The sequence below is a fragment of the Homo sapiens genome, chromosome 7 (genome assembly GCF_000001405.40).
Source record: "Homo sapiens chromosome 7, GRCh38.p14 Primary Assembly".
Classification (NCBI taxonomy): Eukaryota; Metazoa; Chordata; class Mammalia; order Primates; family Hominidae; genus Homo; species Homo sapiens.
This window is the reverse complement of record NC_000007.14, coordinates 135,033,658-135,051,478: the sequence shown is the minus strand read 5'-3', so window position 1 is coordinate 135,051,478 and position 17,821 is coordinate 135,033,658. Positions and strand designations below refer to the sequence as shown.

The following is a 17,821-nucleotide window of genomic DNA, read 5'->3' as shown; positions in this document are numbered from 1 at the left end:
AGATGAGCCTGGGAAATCTTATCATGGCTGAAAGTTACTGAAGACTATGAGAGTCATGTCAAAAAACACAGGCCAATTTAATTGGTCTTGTATTGTTGAGGTTTGGGAAAATTTGAGCATTCAAGTAATAATGACTGAAATTGATTAGAGCACATCCAATATTATATAAACAAACTCGAGCTCAAAATCATACTCTGCATCTGGAAACAAACATATTAGTCACCAGGGAAGGTTGCAGGGGCACTAACTCAAGACTGAAAAATGTGTAAATATAAGGGAAGAATCATACATTTGTTTTACCTTTCCTGTAAGTACTGTACTCACCTATAAGTGGGAGCTTATAAAATTAGTACATTCTTTCTTCCAACTATATTCCTGTGGCATTGAATTTTCCAGTTATTATTCATTACCTTTTATTATACTGCTTTTGTGTCATCTCAATAAAAATGTCAGTTCTCTGTGGGTAGTGACAGCATTAGAAATAATTTGAAGAGAAGAAAAGAGAAAAAAACTGTAAGACTAATAGAAAACAACAAAATGGCAATAGTAAATCTTCTATCAATAATGACCTTAAGTATAAATGGACTAAACTCAATCAAAGGACACAGAATGGCTGAATGGATTAAAAAAAGAGGACCCAACTACAATCTATCTACAAGATACTCCCTGTAGATTTAAGGAAATACGTAGACTGAATTAAGGGATGGGAAAATATTCCATGCTAAAATGGTAACTAAAAGAGAGCAAGAATAGCTATACTTATATCAGATAAAATAGACTTTAAGTAAAAAACTGTCATGAGAGACAAAGAAAGATATTATGTAATGATAAAAGGGTCAATCCACTAGGAAGATATAACAAATAAAAGGGCCAATCCACTAGGAAGATACAACAATCACAAATATATATGCAGCCAAACATCAGAGCACCTAAATACATAAAGCAAACATTGATAGAACCGAAGAGAGAAACGGCAATACAATAATAGCAGGAGACTTCAATACCTCATTTCAATAATAGAATATCAACATAGATGATCAATAAGGAAACAGAGGGCTTGAACAACATTATAGACCAAATGGATCTAACAGACATATACAGAACATTGTATCCAACAGCAGCAGGCTACATGGTCTTCTCAAGCACATCTGGAACTTTCTCCAGGATAGATCACATGTTAGGCCACAAAACAAGCCTTAACAAATTTAACAAACAAGTATTATTACTGACCATAATGGGGTGAAACTAGATAAATAGCAGAAGGAAAACTGGAATATTCACATTCTCAAGTGTAAAGAAATTAAACGCAGAATCTTGAACAATCATTGGGTCAAAGTAGAAATAAAAAAGGAAACTAAGAACAATTTGAGACAAAAATGAAAACATAACATACCAGAATTAATGGGATATAGCAAAAGCAGTACTAAGAGGGAAATTTATTGTGATAAATGTATATATTTAAAAAAGAATAAAGATCTCAAAAAAGACCTAATTTTATACCTCGAGGAGATAGAAAAGAACAAACTAAGACCAAAATTAGCAGAAGAAAGGAAAAACAAAGATCAAAGCAGAAACAAAATAGAAAATAGAAAAACAATAGAAAAAAATCAGTGAAACTAAGAATTAGTTTTTTGAAAAGCCAAAATTGACAAACTCTTAGCTAAACTAATTATGAAAAATGGAGAAGACTCAAATAAAATAAAAAATGAAAGAGGAAACTTCATAGCTGATACTACAGAAATAAAAAGAATCATAAGAGACTGTTATGAACAGTGGTATAACAACAATCTAAATAATCTGGAAGAAGAAGATAAATGCCTAGAAACATACAAATTACCAAGACTAAATTTTGGATAAATAGAAAGTCTGAACAGGCCTATAACTATTATGGAGATTTAATCAGTAATCGAAAATCTCTTAACAAAGAAAGCCCAGGATTAGATGGCTTCATTGGTGAATTCTATAAAATGTTTAAAGAATAATTAATGCCAATCCTTCTTAAACTCAAATAGAAGGAGAGTGAACTTTCAATTCATTTTAGGACGCTCACATTAACCTGATACGAAAGATCTAGACAAAGATACCAGAAGAAAAGGAAGCCACAGGCTAATATCCTTCATGAACATAGATACAAAAATTCTCAAGAAAATACTAGAAAACTAAATGTAACAACACATTAAAAGGATTGCCCACCATGACTAAGTGGGATTTATCCCTGGGATGCAAGTATGGTTCAATATATGCAAATCAATTAATTCGATAAACCATACAAACAGAATAAAGGATAAAAATCCATGATCCTCTCAATAGAGAAAAAGCACCTGACAAAATTCAACATCCTTTCCTCAACAAACTAAGAATAGAAGGAAAGTACTTCAATATAATATAGGCCGTATATGAAAAGCCCACAGCTAACAGCATACTTAAAGGTAAAAAACTGAAGGCTTTTACTCTAAGATCAGGAAAAAGGCAAGGATGCTCACCTGGCCACTGAAGGTAAAAAACTGAAGGCTTTTACTCTAAGATCAGGAACAAGGCAAGGATGCTCACCTTGCCACTTCTATTCAACATAATACTGGAAGTCCAAGCCAGAGCAATTAGGCAAGAGAACGAATGAAAAGGCATGTAAACTGGAAATGAAGAAGTAAAATTGTCCCTGTTTCCAGAGGACATGATCTTATATATGTATATAGAAAACCCTATGGACTCCATTAAAAAAAAAAAACAACTGTGAGAACTAATCAATAAACTCAGAAAGTTACAGGTTACAAAATCTGCATACAAAAATCCATTGTGTTTCTATATACTAATAATGAACTACCTGAAAAGGTGATATCCCTTTTACAATATCCCATTTTACAAAATATCCCATTTACAATAGCACCAGAAAGAATAAAATAGGAATAAACCTAACTAAGACTTGTATAATGAAAACTATAAAACATTGATAAAAGAAATTAAAGAAGACTGAAATAAATGGAAAGACATCCCCTGTTGGTGGATCAGAAGACTTAATATTGTTAAAATGCCTATACTACTCTAAGTGATCTACACATTCAATACAATCACTATCAAAATCCCAATGGCACCCTTTACAAAAATAGGAAAAAGAGTTCTGTGATTCATATGGAAACACCAAAGACCATGAATAGCCACATCAAATCAATCCTGAGAAAAAAGAACAAAGCGAGAGTCATCACTTTCTCTGATTTCAAATTAATATTACAAAGCTACAGTAATCAAATGAGTATGACACTGACAGAGACATCTATACTTACAGGATAGAATACAGGGCCCCAAAATAAGACCACACATATATGACCAAATAATCTTCAATACGGGTGCCAAGGATACACAATGGGAAAAGAATAATATCTTCAACAAATAATGGTGGGAAACTGGCTATCCACATGCAAAAGAATAAAATTGGATACTATATAAAAAAGTCAACTCAAAATGGGCTAAACACTTAAATATAAGAGCTGAAACTATAAAACTTCCAGAAATGTAGGGGAAAAGCTCCATGGCGCTGATCTCTGCAAAGATTTCATAGATACGACACCAAAAGCATAGGCAACAAACCCAAAAATAAACACATGGGACTACATCAAACTAAAACGCTTCTGTACAACCAAGGAAACAATAGAGTGAAAAAGTGGCCTATAGAATGGAAAAAAAATGTGCAAACTATACATCTAATAAGGGGTAGTCTACAAAATATATAAGGAATTCCTTCACCTCAATAGCAAAAACCCCTATAACCTGATTTTGTTATAAAATGGGCTAAGTACTTGAATAGATATTTCTACAATAAGACACACTGGCCAACAGGTATATGAAAAAGTGCTTGACATCGCTTATCAGGGAAATGCAAATTAAAACACAATGAGATATCACCTCATGCCTGTCAGGATGGCTGTCATCAAAAAACCAAAAGACAAGTGTTAGGGAGAATGTGGAGAAATTGAAAACCTTGTACACTATGGTGGGAATACAAAACAGTGCAGCTGCTACTGAAAACAGCACAGAGGTTCCTCAGAAAGTCTAAAAACAGAACTGCCATATGATCCAGCAGTCTTACTTCTGGGTATTTATCCAAAAGAACCGAAATCTAGACATTAGCATTCCTGTTTTTATTGTAGCACTATTCACAATAGCCATTATATAGAAACAACCTAAATATCTTTTGACAAATGAATGGATAAAGAAAATAAGACGTACCTATTCAGCTTTAAAAAAGAAGGAAATTCTGCAATAAGTTAACAACATGGATAAACAGCAAGGACATTACACTAAGTGAAATAAGCCAATCACAGAAAGACAAATACTGCATGATTTCATTTTTATGAAGTATCTAAAATGTCAAATTCATAAAATAAAAGTCAAATGGTGGTTTCTAGAGGGTGGTAGGGGAATGGGACTTTCAGTTAAGCAAGATGCATAAACTCTAGAGATCTGCTCTACAGTATTGTATCAAAAATAATAAAATATTGTACAGTTAATAATTTAAGAGGGTATATCTCATACTGTGTTCTTACCACAATAAAATGAAAAATAAAGAAGTAACAATCGACTCCAATGCTGGAAGAAGAAAAGCCACGAAACATATTCTTACCATACAGTCTAGCAACCATGCTCCTTGATATCTACTCAAAGAAGTCAAAGACTTATGTCTACACAAAAACCTGCACATGGATATATGTAGCAGCTTTATTTATAATTGCCAAAACTTGGAGGCAACCAAGATGTCCTTCAGTAGGTAAACTGATATATAAACTGTGGTACATTCAGACAATGGAATATTACTGAGTGCTAAAAATAAATGAGCTTTTAAGCCACGAAAAGACATGGAAGAAAATTAAATGCATATTACTAAGTGAAAGAAGCCAGTCTGAAAAGGCCACATACTGTGTGATTCTACCTATATGCCATTCTGGAAAAGGCAAAACTATGGAGACAGTTTAAAATATCTGTGGTTTCCAGGGGTTAGTAGGGAGAGATGGTTGAATAGGTGGATTCTTAGGGTGAATCCTTACAGTGAAAATACTCTATGATACTATAATAGTGAATACATATATTATACATTTGTCAAAACCTGCAGAATTAACACCAAGAGTGAAGCCTAATATATCCAATGGACTTTGGATGATAAAGACATGTCACTGCAGACTCATTAACTGTAAATAAGTACCACTCTGGTAGGGGATATATAGGAACTCTCCGTACTTCCCCTTCCATTTTGCTGTGAATCTAAAACTGCTCTAAAAAGCTAAAATAAAGTCTATTAAAAAGAAAGAGAAAAACGAAAACAATAACCAAACAAAAACCAATTTCATATGTCTTTCACACACTATTCACAGTACACTGTACATAGCAATGTTCATGTTACTTGAATAAAATAATAAAGTCTTAATGAAGTCTGGCCAAAATAATGGGCATGGGAGAAATTTTCCACCACTTACAGTTGGGATTTTCAGTTGAGAACTGACAATAAAATGCTGGTATAATTATAAAGAACATAGTAAAACAGCACAACAAATTGCATTACTTCAGCAGCCTTGAGTTACCTAGACTCTACATCCAATGTAATGTCTATCACAGGTGTGTCTGAATCCTCAAAGACTTTTTCCAGGGTTATATGTCTTTCCATTTCTTCTAATTCTTTCAGGCACCGATAATACTAGGCAAAAGTAATAAATGAGCTCATTATGAAATAACTTTATTTCCTGATTAAACTATTTGAGTATTTATAGACACCTGGAACAATTGTTACTGGGAAATTAAGTGCTAAAACCCCAACAACACTGTTGGGACATTAAAAGGCAAACACTGCATAGGCCCATAGTCAGCTTATGTTATCTGATAGGCTGGAGTCTGATGCATTACCAAATGGACTTTGCTTACCTTGGTCCGGTCGGGATCACAATAATCCAAGAGAGAATCACAAAAATGATATCCCATTGATTCCAGGTCTTTCGTGCTGAAATGAGTGCCTCGTTTGTTACCTAAAACATCAATAAGTTTATCCACCCTTGAGGGTAAGTTAATAATTTTTCTTAGCAGGTACATTGCAAAACACTATAAACAAAACATTGATATGATTCCATATCCTATCCTTTAGATTTTTTTCTTCAGGACAGGTCATTTAACATCTCATTGCTTTCCCTTGTTCCTTTTCCACCATCTGGACCAAAGCTGATTTAACATACATTAGTACATGTTTTAAAGGCATAAAAAAATTCAATAAGACAGTTATAGAATATTTGGTTGCCAGTTAGAAACAGTGGTAATAATCACTTTGAGAAAAACTCATGTAAAGATTTTATGAGAAAAGGTTTTCATCATCACAAATGTTATATCAGTATCAAAGTGCTTTGATTAAGAAAATGTGGCACATATACACCATGGAATACTATGCAGCCATAAAAAATGATGAGTTCATGTCCTTTGTAGGGACATGGATGAAATTGGAAATCATCATTCTCAGTAAACTATCGCAAGAACAAAAAACCAAACACCGCATATTCTCGCTCATATGTGGGAATTGAACAATGAGAACACATGGACACAGTAAGGGGAACATCACACTCTGGGGACTGTTGTGGGGTGGGGGGAGGGGGGAGGGATAGCACTGGGAGATATACCTAATGCTAGATGACGAGTTAGTGGGTGCAGCACACCAGCAAGGCACATGTATACATATGTAACTAACCTGCACATTGTGCACATGTACCCTAAAACTTAAAGTATAATAATAATAAAATACAATAAAAAAAACAAGCTGAAAAGTACATATATGGATTTCTAGCACTTTAAGTTGATACATTTTTCTGATAATGTGACAATTATTTTAATATGGAGTATTCTAACCATGTTAGGATATGCTAGCTGTAACTAAAAGATTTCTTAAATGGGACTACAAAGCACACTTTTAATTTTTGTTCAGGGAACCAAGTGCTTTCATTTAAACATATATTGACCCCCAAAAGTCCATTTTGCCTTGCAAATAGCAAATCCAATAAAAAATATTTTTAAAAAATCTGTAGATATCCCCTTAAAAACAACAAGCATTTAAAGATTACCATATGAAACAACCAATTAGAGTATTCTGTTTATATGCTTAAATCTTCCTTTCTAAACAAAGGAAAATTATGAAATAGAGATACCATATTTTGAGAGTTTATTCATCCTGTTTATAGAATTGATTAAATATTAGTATTATTTAAATAGGAAGAAAGTACTATTGTCTGTACTGTTACATTTACATTAAATTATACATGTTTGGTTTAAAGCTTTGAGAGCTGTGAATGAGAACCCTTGGTCTTACCCAGAGTAGATCCACAGAAGGTGGCCTCCATGGTAAAGCTGTTCCTGATTCCCATTTTCCACATTACCACCCTTCCTGTTCCTTCTTTGCTCTTCTGGACATTAAACTTGCAAGCTGAGAATGAAAACTGAAAAGCAGCAAATAAAAATGAGACTCGTTGTTCTGGTACCGATATCTTTTTTTGAAAGTAGTATTAAAAATGATAAAGTGGTTATGCAAAGTCTATAATTCTCACTAAAGCTTCAGGAGCTACTTTTTATTTCCTGACCTGTGGAAATATCTCATTTTAAGGATGATATGTTCACATTTCTGAGAACTATAGATTCTAATTCCTGCAATAAAATTTACTATTTTTATAGAAAGATATGTATATATCTTTATGTAACATATATATTCAAAATAAGTTCTTTTTTAATTTTTAATTTTTGTGGGTACATAGTAAGTTTATATATACAGGGTGTACATGAGATATTTTGATAGAGATATGCAGTATGTAATAATCACATCAGAGTAAATGGGGTATCCATCACCTCAAGCATTTATCCTTTGTGTTACAAATAACCCAATTATACTTTTACTTTTTTAAAAATGTATAATTAAATTATTATTGACTATAGTCACCCTCTTGTGCCATCAAATACTAGTTCTTATTTTTTGTACCCATTAACCATCTCCACTTCTGCCCTCCTCCACTACCTTTCCTAGCTTCTAGTAACCATCCTTCTATTCTCTGTCTCTACAAGTTCAGTTGTTTTAATTTTTAGCTCCCACAAATAAGTGAGAACATGCACAGTTTGTCTTTCTGTCCCTAGCTTATTTCATTTAACACAATGATCTCCAGTTCCATCCATGTTGTTGCAAACGACAGAATCTCATTCTTTTTTATGCCTGAATAGTACCCATTCTGTATATGTACCACATTTTCTTTATCCATTCATCTGCTAATGTACACTTAGGTTGCTTCCAAAAGTTGATTAATTCTTGATGCTGTTGGGATAAAATTTTATACTTTTAAAAAAGTTATAGGAAGGGATTCAATCTTCATGTTAGGAATGAAGATTAGTGTTGGAGATGTTCAAAAATAAAGATTCTTTATCTTCATATGAAAGACCATTTGAAATTATGCCCTGAAAGATTGTCTACAAAGAAATTTTTTGAGGTGCAATTTTATTTTTTCAGTAACATACGATAAAATTGACTTTTTGTGTTTCATTCTATGCATCTTTTTGTTTTTGTTTTTGAGACAGGGTCTCTCTCTGTCACCCAGGCTGGAGTGCAGTGGTGCGATCATAGCTCACTGCAGTCTCAAACTCCTGGGCTCAAAGCTATCTTCCTACCTCAGTCTCCCAAATAGCTGAGACCACAGGCACTTACCACCATACGTAGCTATTTTTGTATTTTTTTCACAGAAATGGGGTCTTGCTATGTTGCTCAGGCTGGTCTCAAATTCCTGGCCTCATGCCATCCTCCTGCCTTGGTCTTCCGAAGTGCTGGGATTACAGGTATGGGCCACTGTGCCCAGCCTCATTTTATGAATTTTAACACACATATAGATTCCTGTAACCACCATCACACTCAAGATACAGAACAGTTCTATTATCCTAATAGGATAGTTATAGTCACACCCTCCTGCCACCTCTAACCCCTGGCAACCATTGATTTGCTCTCTGTCACTATAGATTTGCTTTTTCAAGACTGCTATATAAATGGAATCATATAGAATGTAATCTTTTGAGACTGGCTTCTTTCACTTAACCTAATACTTTTGAGATTTATCCAAGTTGTTGCATGTGTGAATATTCATTCCTTTTTATTGGCAAGTACTATTCCATTGTATGGGTGTACTAAAATGTATATCCATTTACCAGTTAAAGGACATTTTGGGTTGTTTGCAGCTTTTGGCAATTATGATAGAGTTGTTATAAATGTTTGTGTGTACAGGTTTATATATGAATGTACCTTTTCATTTCTCAAGGGTAAATACCTAGGAATGAGATTGCTGGATCATATAAGTGTACAATTTACAAGAAACTGACAAACTACTTTTCAAAATGATATACCATTTTGCATCCCCAACAAAAATGTATAGTATGAGAGTTCCAGTTACTCCAAATTCTTATTAGAACTTGGGATTGTCAGTATTTTTATTTTAGCAATTCTAAAGGTATATAATTGTATCTCCTCATGGTTTTACTTTGCAGTTCCCTGAGGGCTACTGATGTCAAACATCTTTTCATGTGCTTATTTGCCTTCACATATCCTTTTTGGAAATGTGTGTATTTAAGATTATTGCCATTTTTAATTGGGTTGTTTTATTACTATTCAGTTATTCTGGATAAAAGTTCTTTGTGAGATATGTGATTGAAAATAATTTCTTCTACCTGGAGCTTATCTTTGTATTCGCTTAGCAGGATCTTTAAGAGAGCAAAAGGATTAATTCTGATGATGTCCAATTTATCAATTCATTACCATCCAATGGATAATGCTTTTGGTATTTTCTAAGAAATTTTTGTCTAATTCCATGTCATAAAAATTTTCTTCTAAAAGTTTTACAGTTTTACATTTAAGGTTTGAGGGTTAGGTGAAAGTTTTTTGTTTTTTAGATGGATGTTCAATTGTTCCGACACTTATTTATTTAAATGTTTCTTTCTCCATTAAATTTCCTGTGCACCTTTGTCAAAAGGCCATATGTATATGGGTCTATTACTAGACTTGCTATTCTGTACCACTGCTTTTGGTGTTTACACAGTTCCTATTAACATACTATCTTTATTACTGTAGTTTTATACTGTCATAAAATTTGATAGTGATTCCTTCAACTTTATTTTTTAAAATTGTTTTGCCTATTCTAGTTCCTTTGCATTTCCTTATCCATCTTAGAATCAGCCTGTTTATATCTATAAACAATTATGCTGTGATTTTGTCTGAAACTCTGTTAAATCTACAGATCAACTTGGGGAGTTGATATTTTACTGTGTTTAGTCTTCCAATCCATAATACAGCACGTTGTCTCCATTTCTTTGGGCCCTTGATTTATTTCATCAGCATTTTTAAGGCTTCAGCATATAGAATCTGTACATTTTGTTAGATTTATAACTAAGTATTTATTTTGAAGCTAAGATAAAAATGGTATTGTTTTTAACTTTGGTTTCCAATTTTTTCATTGTGAGTATACAGAAATGCAATTGTTTTTTGTGGGTTGATCTTGTATCCTACGACCTTGCTTAAATTCCCTTGTTCTAGTTTTGTGTGTGTGTGTGTGTGTGGTGTGTGTGTGTGTGTGCATGGATCACTTTGGATTTTCTGTGTAGATAATTGTGCCACTGTCATTACTTCTTTCCAATCTGTCTGCCTTCACCTTTCTTTTGCCTTTTTGAACTGGTTAGAAATTCCAGTACAAGGCTGCATGAAGTGGGGAAGAGTGGACATTCTTGTCTTCTTCCTGACCTTGGGCAGAAAACATTCAGTCTTTCATCAACTATGTTGTTAGCTGTAGAGTTTCTTGTAGATGTCCTTTATCAGGTTAAGGAAGTACACTTTTATTCATTATTTGCTGAAAGTTTTTTTTTTTTCATAACAAGATGCTGAATTGTGTTAAAAACTTTTTCTATATCAATTGACGAGATCACACAGTTTTTCTTCTTTCAACTCTTAACATAGTGGATTACAATGATTAATTTTCAAATATGAAACCAGCCTTATATTTTGGGATAAACCCCATCTGGTCATGGTCTATTACTCTTTTTATATATTGCTGGATTTAATATGCTAATATTTTGGTGAGAATTTTTGCATCTATGTCCATGAGGGATATTAGTCTGTAGTTTTCTTTTCTTGTACTATGTTTGTCTTGTGTTGGTATCATGGTAATCCCGGGAAAGATTGCCTTTAAATTTTTGGTAGAATGCCTCAGTGAATCCAACTGGATCTTGATATTTGTTTTCTGGAGTTTCTTTTTGAAATGCTTTTCAGGACTATTCAGATTATTTCACCTTGGGTGAGTTTTGGTAGTCTGTAGTTTTCAAGGAATTGGTTCATTTCATCTAAGTTGTTAAATTTATGTGCATAGAATTGAATTTCCCCTTATTGTCCTTTTAATGCCTGCAGGGTCTGTAGTGATACCTCTCTTTCATTCTTGATATTGGTAAGTTGTGCCATCATTGCCTCCCCCTCCTCCTCGTTCTCTTCCTCCTACTTTCTCATCAATCTTGGTAAAGTTTTGTCAGTTTTACCAATCTTTTCCAAGCACAAATGTTGCTTAATTGATTTTTTTTCATTGTCTCTCATTTTCCAATTTCATTGACCTGCTTCTCTTTATTATCTGCTTCCTTCTGCTTGGTTTATTTTACTCTTCTTTTTCTATTCTTAATGTGAAAACTTAGATTACTAATTCAAGACCTTTGTTCTTTTCTTTTTTGAGATGGAGTCTCACACTGTTGCCCAGGCTGGAGTACAGTGGTACGACCTTGGCTCCCTGCAACCTCTGCTTCCTGGGCTCAAACAGTCCTCTTGCCTCAGCCTCCCAAATAGCTGGGATTACAGGCACACACTGCCATGCTTGGCTAATTTTTGTATTTTTAGTAGAGATGAGGTTTCACCATGTTGGCCAAGTTGGTCTTGAACTCCTGACCTCAAGTGATCTGCCCACCTTGGCCTCTCAAAGTGCTGGGATTATAGGCATGAGCCATTGTACCCAGCCTATTCTTTTCTAATATAAGCATTTCTTGCTATACATTTTCTTCTAAGTGCTACTATTTAGCTGAATTTCATAAAATTTCATGTTACATATTTTCATTTTCTTTCAGGTGAAACTATATTCTAATGTTCCTTAAGAGTTCCTCTTGGGCCTAAGGATTTTTTAGAAATGTGGTTTAATATCTACATGTTTGTAGATTTTCCTCTTTTATTGATTTAGTTTAATTCCATTATGCTTAAAAACATACTTGTGTGATATTAATTATTTTAAATTTGTTAGTATTTGTTTTAAACCAGGATGTGATTTATGTTGGTGGTGTTCCATGTGCATTTGAATATAATGTGTATTCTGCTGTTTAGTAGAGTGTCCTATAAATGTCAAATCCAGTTGGTTGATCCTTGCCTACTGTCTATCTACCAGTTCCAGATTAATGTAAGAGGTATTTAAAATCTCCAACTATAATTGTGGATTTTCACAAAAAGTTTTTTTTTTTTTTTGAGACAAAGTCTCGCTCTATCGTCCAGGCTGGAGTGCAGTGGCGCCATCTCGGCTCACTGCAAGCTCCGCCTCCTGGGTTCACACCATTCTCCTGCCTCAGCCTCCTGAGTAGCTGGGACTACAGGCACCTGCCACCAAGCCCAGCTAATTTTTTGTTTTTAGTAGAGACGGGGTTTCACTGTGTTAGCCAGGATGGTCTCGATCTCCTGACCTCGTGATCCACCCGCCTCGGGCTCCCAAAGTGCTAGGATTACAGGCGTGAGCCACCACGTCTGGCCCAAAAAGATTTTTATAAGAAACATTTAACAGAAAACCTAGAAATAGGAGCCTCTATGTTTTAAGCAACCTTTAGATGATGTGGAAGGCCTGTTTAAGCTGCAGAGTGGTGGTTTGAGTTATTTAAGAAATTGGTCCATTTCATCTAAGGCACAACAGGTTAGAGATCTAAAACCCTAAGAAGCATGTCAATAGACAAACATCAAAATATCTTAGTAACACAGAATTATTTTATAGGAGTAATAAACTATACCTAAGAGTATTGACAGTATAAATTTACATAGCAATAGCTTCAGCTATGGGTTTGGGTTTTCCCGTCTTTCTTGCTGAGGAAATGAATCCTCTTTGGCGAACAAACCTGTTCTTTCTTTAAATAGCTATTTTTATCAGATCATCCTTTCCTTTTTATGTCTTTGGGCCCCAATTATCCCCAAAAGACAATTAGTTCTTCTCCAGTAAGTCCTTTATAATTGAATTTGTTGGTTGAGAACTTAAAGGAAAGTCTGCAGGAATTTTCTTTGCTATGTTAACATCTTTTCCCTAAAGAATGATTAAAATATAATTTTCACATCTTGGTAAATGAGGCTCCAATATTTCCATAGTTTGTGAAAATAATAATATACTTTATTCTTTTCTCATTCTAATTTCTATATATTTTAAAAATATTGGTTATTGGATTAAGTTTTTTCCTGGCAAAATTCTAATAAATACTTTGAAGAAACTGTTACACATTTCTTAAGAATATACATTTCTTAAGAAATTAATCTGTATAATTTAGGCACTCAATGACTATTTAAACAATAAAAAAACCCCTAAAATTGATTGATAAAAATGACTAATAGAGGAAGCTTTCAAAAGGTAAAAGAGCAGTGGTATTATGGTGGTAGGTTTGGGGGCATTTTTGCCTTTTTTCCCCATATTTTCAAATTATTGCTCACTAAGTAGTTCTATATAGTTGCTTTCTTATTGTCAATTGTATAAACTGGTCAAACTAACTAAAAAAAAAGCAGTTTGGAATAGTATTATCCACGTGGGCCATTCTGCTATCTCACATGGGCAACATTTGATAAAGGAAAAGTTAATACCTTAAAAGGTGCTTACTTTATCTGGACAATTTTTGCTTAGCATAAGTGGGAAGATTCGTTGCTGTAAGTATAATGTCTTAGATCTGTCACTACCATCACAGCCATACATGAAGATGTTCTCTTTCCTACTATGGCCATGAAGATCACAGTATAAAATAACCTCTCGTTTCTCCATCAGTCTGCCAGGAAGAAAGATAAGTTACTAACTTTTATCTCTGCATTTTTCTTCTATAGGTACAACTATGGATTTATAAGTGTAATATCCAAATAAATACAATTTCTTATATCCTAGCTTTCTCTTATCTATATTGCATATTATTAATATACAATTTTTTAAATCTACAATAATTTATTAACTATATAAATATCTGAATGCAGGCCGAGCGCAGTGGCTCATGCCTGTAATCCTAATGCTTTGGGAGACTGAGGCAGGTGGCTTGCCTGAGGTCAGGGGTTCGAGACCAGCCTGGCCAATGTGGCGAAACCACCTCTCTACTAAAAATACAAAAATTAGCTGGGTGTGGCGGCACATGCCTGTAATCCCAGCTGCTTGGGAGGCTGAGGCAGGAGAATTGCTTGAACCCAGGAGGCAGAGGTTGCAGTGAGCGAAGACAGCATTACTACTGCACTCCAGCCTGGGCAACAGAGTGAGACTCCGTCTAAAAAAAAAGTCTGCATGCAGTAGCCTTCCATTATAAGGACAAAATTTACCTTACTCCCAAGACTTTCTCCAACAAGATCTCTCTGCTTTATTATTTTGATGTTTTCACTCTTGCCTTTGCCCATTACCTTTCACGTATTTTCTTTCTGACTGAAATATCTTCTTTCTCTATCTTTGTAAATGTAAATACTACCTGCCATCCTTCAATACTGACCTTATGTCTCACTTCCTTTCTAATTTGTCAAGGCCACAGAGCTTTCTCTTATTGAGCTTCGGTAGCACTTAAAGATATTGGTACCATTTGCTTGGCCCTTGTCTAGGAAAGTTTTTATATTTTTCATATTCAAGCTTATTAAGAATGGGGAATGCTTCAAATCATCTAGAACAGTGCTATGCACATAATAAGTACCCAAATATTTGTTAAAAATTGAGTGCTTGATGACTTGGTGCTGAAGCCAATTAATATTTAACCCTTGATTAGTGTGGTGATTAAGTTATTATTTTGAGAAAAATGGTACCAAAGTTTGAATTGACTTTTTCTGATAAATTTCTAACAAATATCTAAAAAAAATTACACATTCCTGAAGAGCACAACCTTTGGTCTATATAATTTAACACTCAATATAAAAATAACAAAACAAAAAATAAGTCCCTCAAACTGATTGATAAAATGACTAATATTAATAGAAAAGGCTTTAAAAAGTAAGAAAGCGTGGTGTTAAGGTGGTAGGATTATTACTTAACTAATCAAAATTACATATACTATTTGCTATATCTGGAAAGATAAACACCAAAATGTTAGCAATAGTATTTATAATATTATGAAATATATTACATTTGTAACAAAAATACTAAAACCTAAAATATAAACATTCAAAGCATTTTGCTTCTATTAGAAACCATACTGCTTTAAACTACAGTGAAATTACAAACTAAAATTTATTATGTGTTAATTTATTGCCCTTTTCTCATTTGCTGCCTAATAAATTCTCATTGATAACATAAGATTGATATAAAGCCACTAAATGATAGTTACAAGTTTCTAGAAAACTAACTAGATTATAAGGCATGAATATCAAGTTAAGTTCTTAAATATGAAACATGCTGTACATTTTTAAGCCACAAATTTCTCAGTCTTTCAGTTTCTTATAAGCAAGTCAAAAGGAACTTTACTTCTAACAGATTAATTTCCAAAGAGATGGTATTACTTCTGAAGTGAAACAGGATATTAGGGTCTCTCATCTTAGATTAATTTGAATAACTTTAGAAACAGTTTGGATTTTCTTTTTACCCATAGGTAAACAGAAATACTTAGTATAAGATTTTACTCATAGGTATCTTTATGGGTAAAAAGATATTCTACTTATGTTATACTAAGTATTTTATACAAAAATCTACTCTCTTATTCTAATATGCTTTAAATATACTTAATCTTATATATACTTACAGCTGCTCACCTTTCCACACACATGTGACTGACTTCTTATCCTACTTACCTGTGTATGATTAACCGGATTAAGATATTTCTCTTTCTTGGAAGTCTTTTAGAAACTTGCTGAATAGACTCCTGCCTTAAACTTCTTACAAGACATTCAGAGACTAACTGACATTTAAAAGAGTTTCTAGAGAGAGAAGCCAACGGTTTCATGTATATAAAATATATATATTTATAAAAAAATTATTTTAAACATCAGTGCTACCATTATCTTTAGCAAGAAGCCAAATTTGGGATATGCAAGCTTATTAGTTTCATCAAGTCATCAAAACATTCTAGAATCTGTTTCATTATTTAAGGGGAGGTTATTTAAGGGGAGGTTAGTGAATCCAGTGGCATAATGACAGAAGGGTATAGAATCACAGTTGTGAATAACGGGGAAAAAATAAAGTAGTTATACAGTAGTTAGACTATCTTGAGAAGTTACAGTAAAATGAATGAGATTGTGGGAGCAAAATTGTTACTACCAAGTTTACTAAATAAGCACAGAGGTAATTTGAGGCTTATTTTACCTATGAACCATGTTCCGGGTATACCATACAGAAGGAAAAGATTCCTTCAGGAGAGATGTATAATTACGGTTTAAATCCCGTCCAGCTAAGGAACAGCGATAATTTCCCACAATCACACCATCTGGATTGAGCATGGGTACCACCTTGAAGACAAAAGTGTCCCGAAGCAACTGTGCATCACTTGAGTTTCCTAAAATATAATCTAGGAAGCCTTTCATGATCCAAGAGCTGTTGGTTTCCCCTGGATGGACCCTTGCAGTCAGAATCACAGCCTTCCGCTTTCTTGAGTCAGAGTTCTTCAAGGGGGTAGTGATTGTTAAAATATACACCATGTTCCTAGCAAGCGTGTGGCACAAAACACGTATTTTACAAAACTTTGACCGTACTGGATCATTATTGATGCCAGAAAGGTATTCTTGCAGGTTGGTGTAAGTGTATGGATAGCAATGAGCAAAGTAGCAGGTATCTTTGTTGTGTGGAAATTGAAATGTCCATGTAAGAGAGAAATAATGGCGCCCATCTTGGCCTGGGTTGTTCCTATAATACTTGATTTGGTCTCCTATTCTCTGCCAGCCAATGTGATGAGCCTTGGCCTCTTTTTCAGAATAGAACAGTGGGCGCATACCCCGACTGTAAAGACTAGCAGGTTTGGTGAAGTTGACAATAGTGAATCTGTAGACTATTCCTGCTCGCATATTAGTGACTTGGAAATAGTACCACTGGGTGTGTTTATTTGTGAAGAGGTCAGGGCGTACAGTCAATTGGTATTCGTATTCTGCCCTAATACACAAGAAAGAAAGGGAAAAAAGCACGTAAGAATGTAAAAATGACATTTTGTAAAAAACCAATGTAAAATTTTGAGTTAAATAAGGAAAATTATTTTATTTTTACTCATTCACAGAAAGCTTTGTTAGGAAACAATGTAAACGATAAAAGTTTTGAAATTTTCCCTTTTATTGGATGAGAAACTGCTTCTATGCTAATTCTAAATCCTTTGTATTCCTTGGTAATTCAAGAGAGCACATAAAAACACAGGTATTTGATAAAAGTTTATATATTTCAACCTAATTATGTTTTCTATATAAGAAATGATTAAAGAGTTACCAAAACTGAAGCAAAGTCCAACATTTCTTTTTTTACTTCAGACATATGTATCTATTACAGTCTAATACTAGGGATATAAAATAACTATCACTGAGAGATTTAAACACATATAAATTAATATGATCACATAGATTACATAATTTGATCTATTTGAGAACAAGAACTGC

At 33.9% G+C, this 17,821-nt stretch overlaps 1 protein-coding gene across 14 annotated transcripts in view; it reads right to left on the bottom strand.

The window, feature by feature from the left end:
* The window catches only part of AGBL3 (AGBL carboxypeptidase 3), a 149,271-nt gene that overhangs the window by 84,300 nt on the left and 47,150 nt on the right, over positions 1 to 17,821 (bottom strand). For 5 of the 14 annotated variants that reach the window (NR_144293.1, NM_001345853.1, NM_001345852.1 and 2 more), the window contains 2 exons: positions 7,328 to 7,454; positions 5,905 to 6,005 (listed from right to left, as the gene is read on the bottom strand). Coding sequence is in view for 12 of the 14 variants with exons in the window: in NM_001345853.1 (NP_001332782.1) it covers positions 5,905 to 6,005; positions 7,328 to 7,454 (228 nt within the window). In the remaining 2 variants the exon portion in view is untranslated. Of the gene's footprint in view, positions 1 to 324; positions 458 to 5,567; positions 5,681 to 5,904; positions 6,006 to 7,327; positions 7,455 to 13,882; positions 14,062 to 16,550; positions 17,331 to 17,821 lie in introns of those variants that run through there. The other 9 variants (XM_047420319.1, XM_047420322.1, XM_047420321.1 and 6 more) reach the window with 5 other exon arrangements.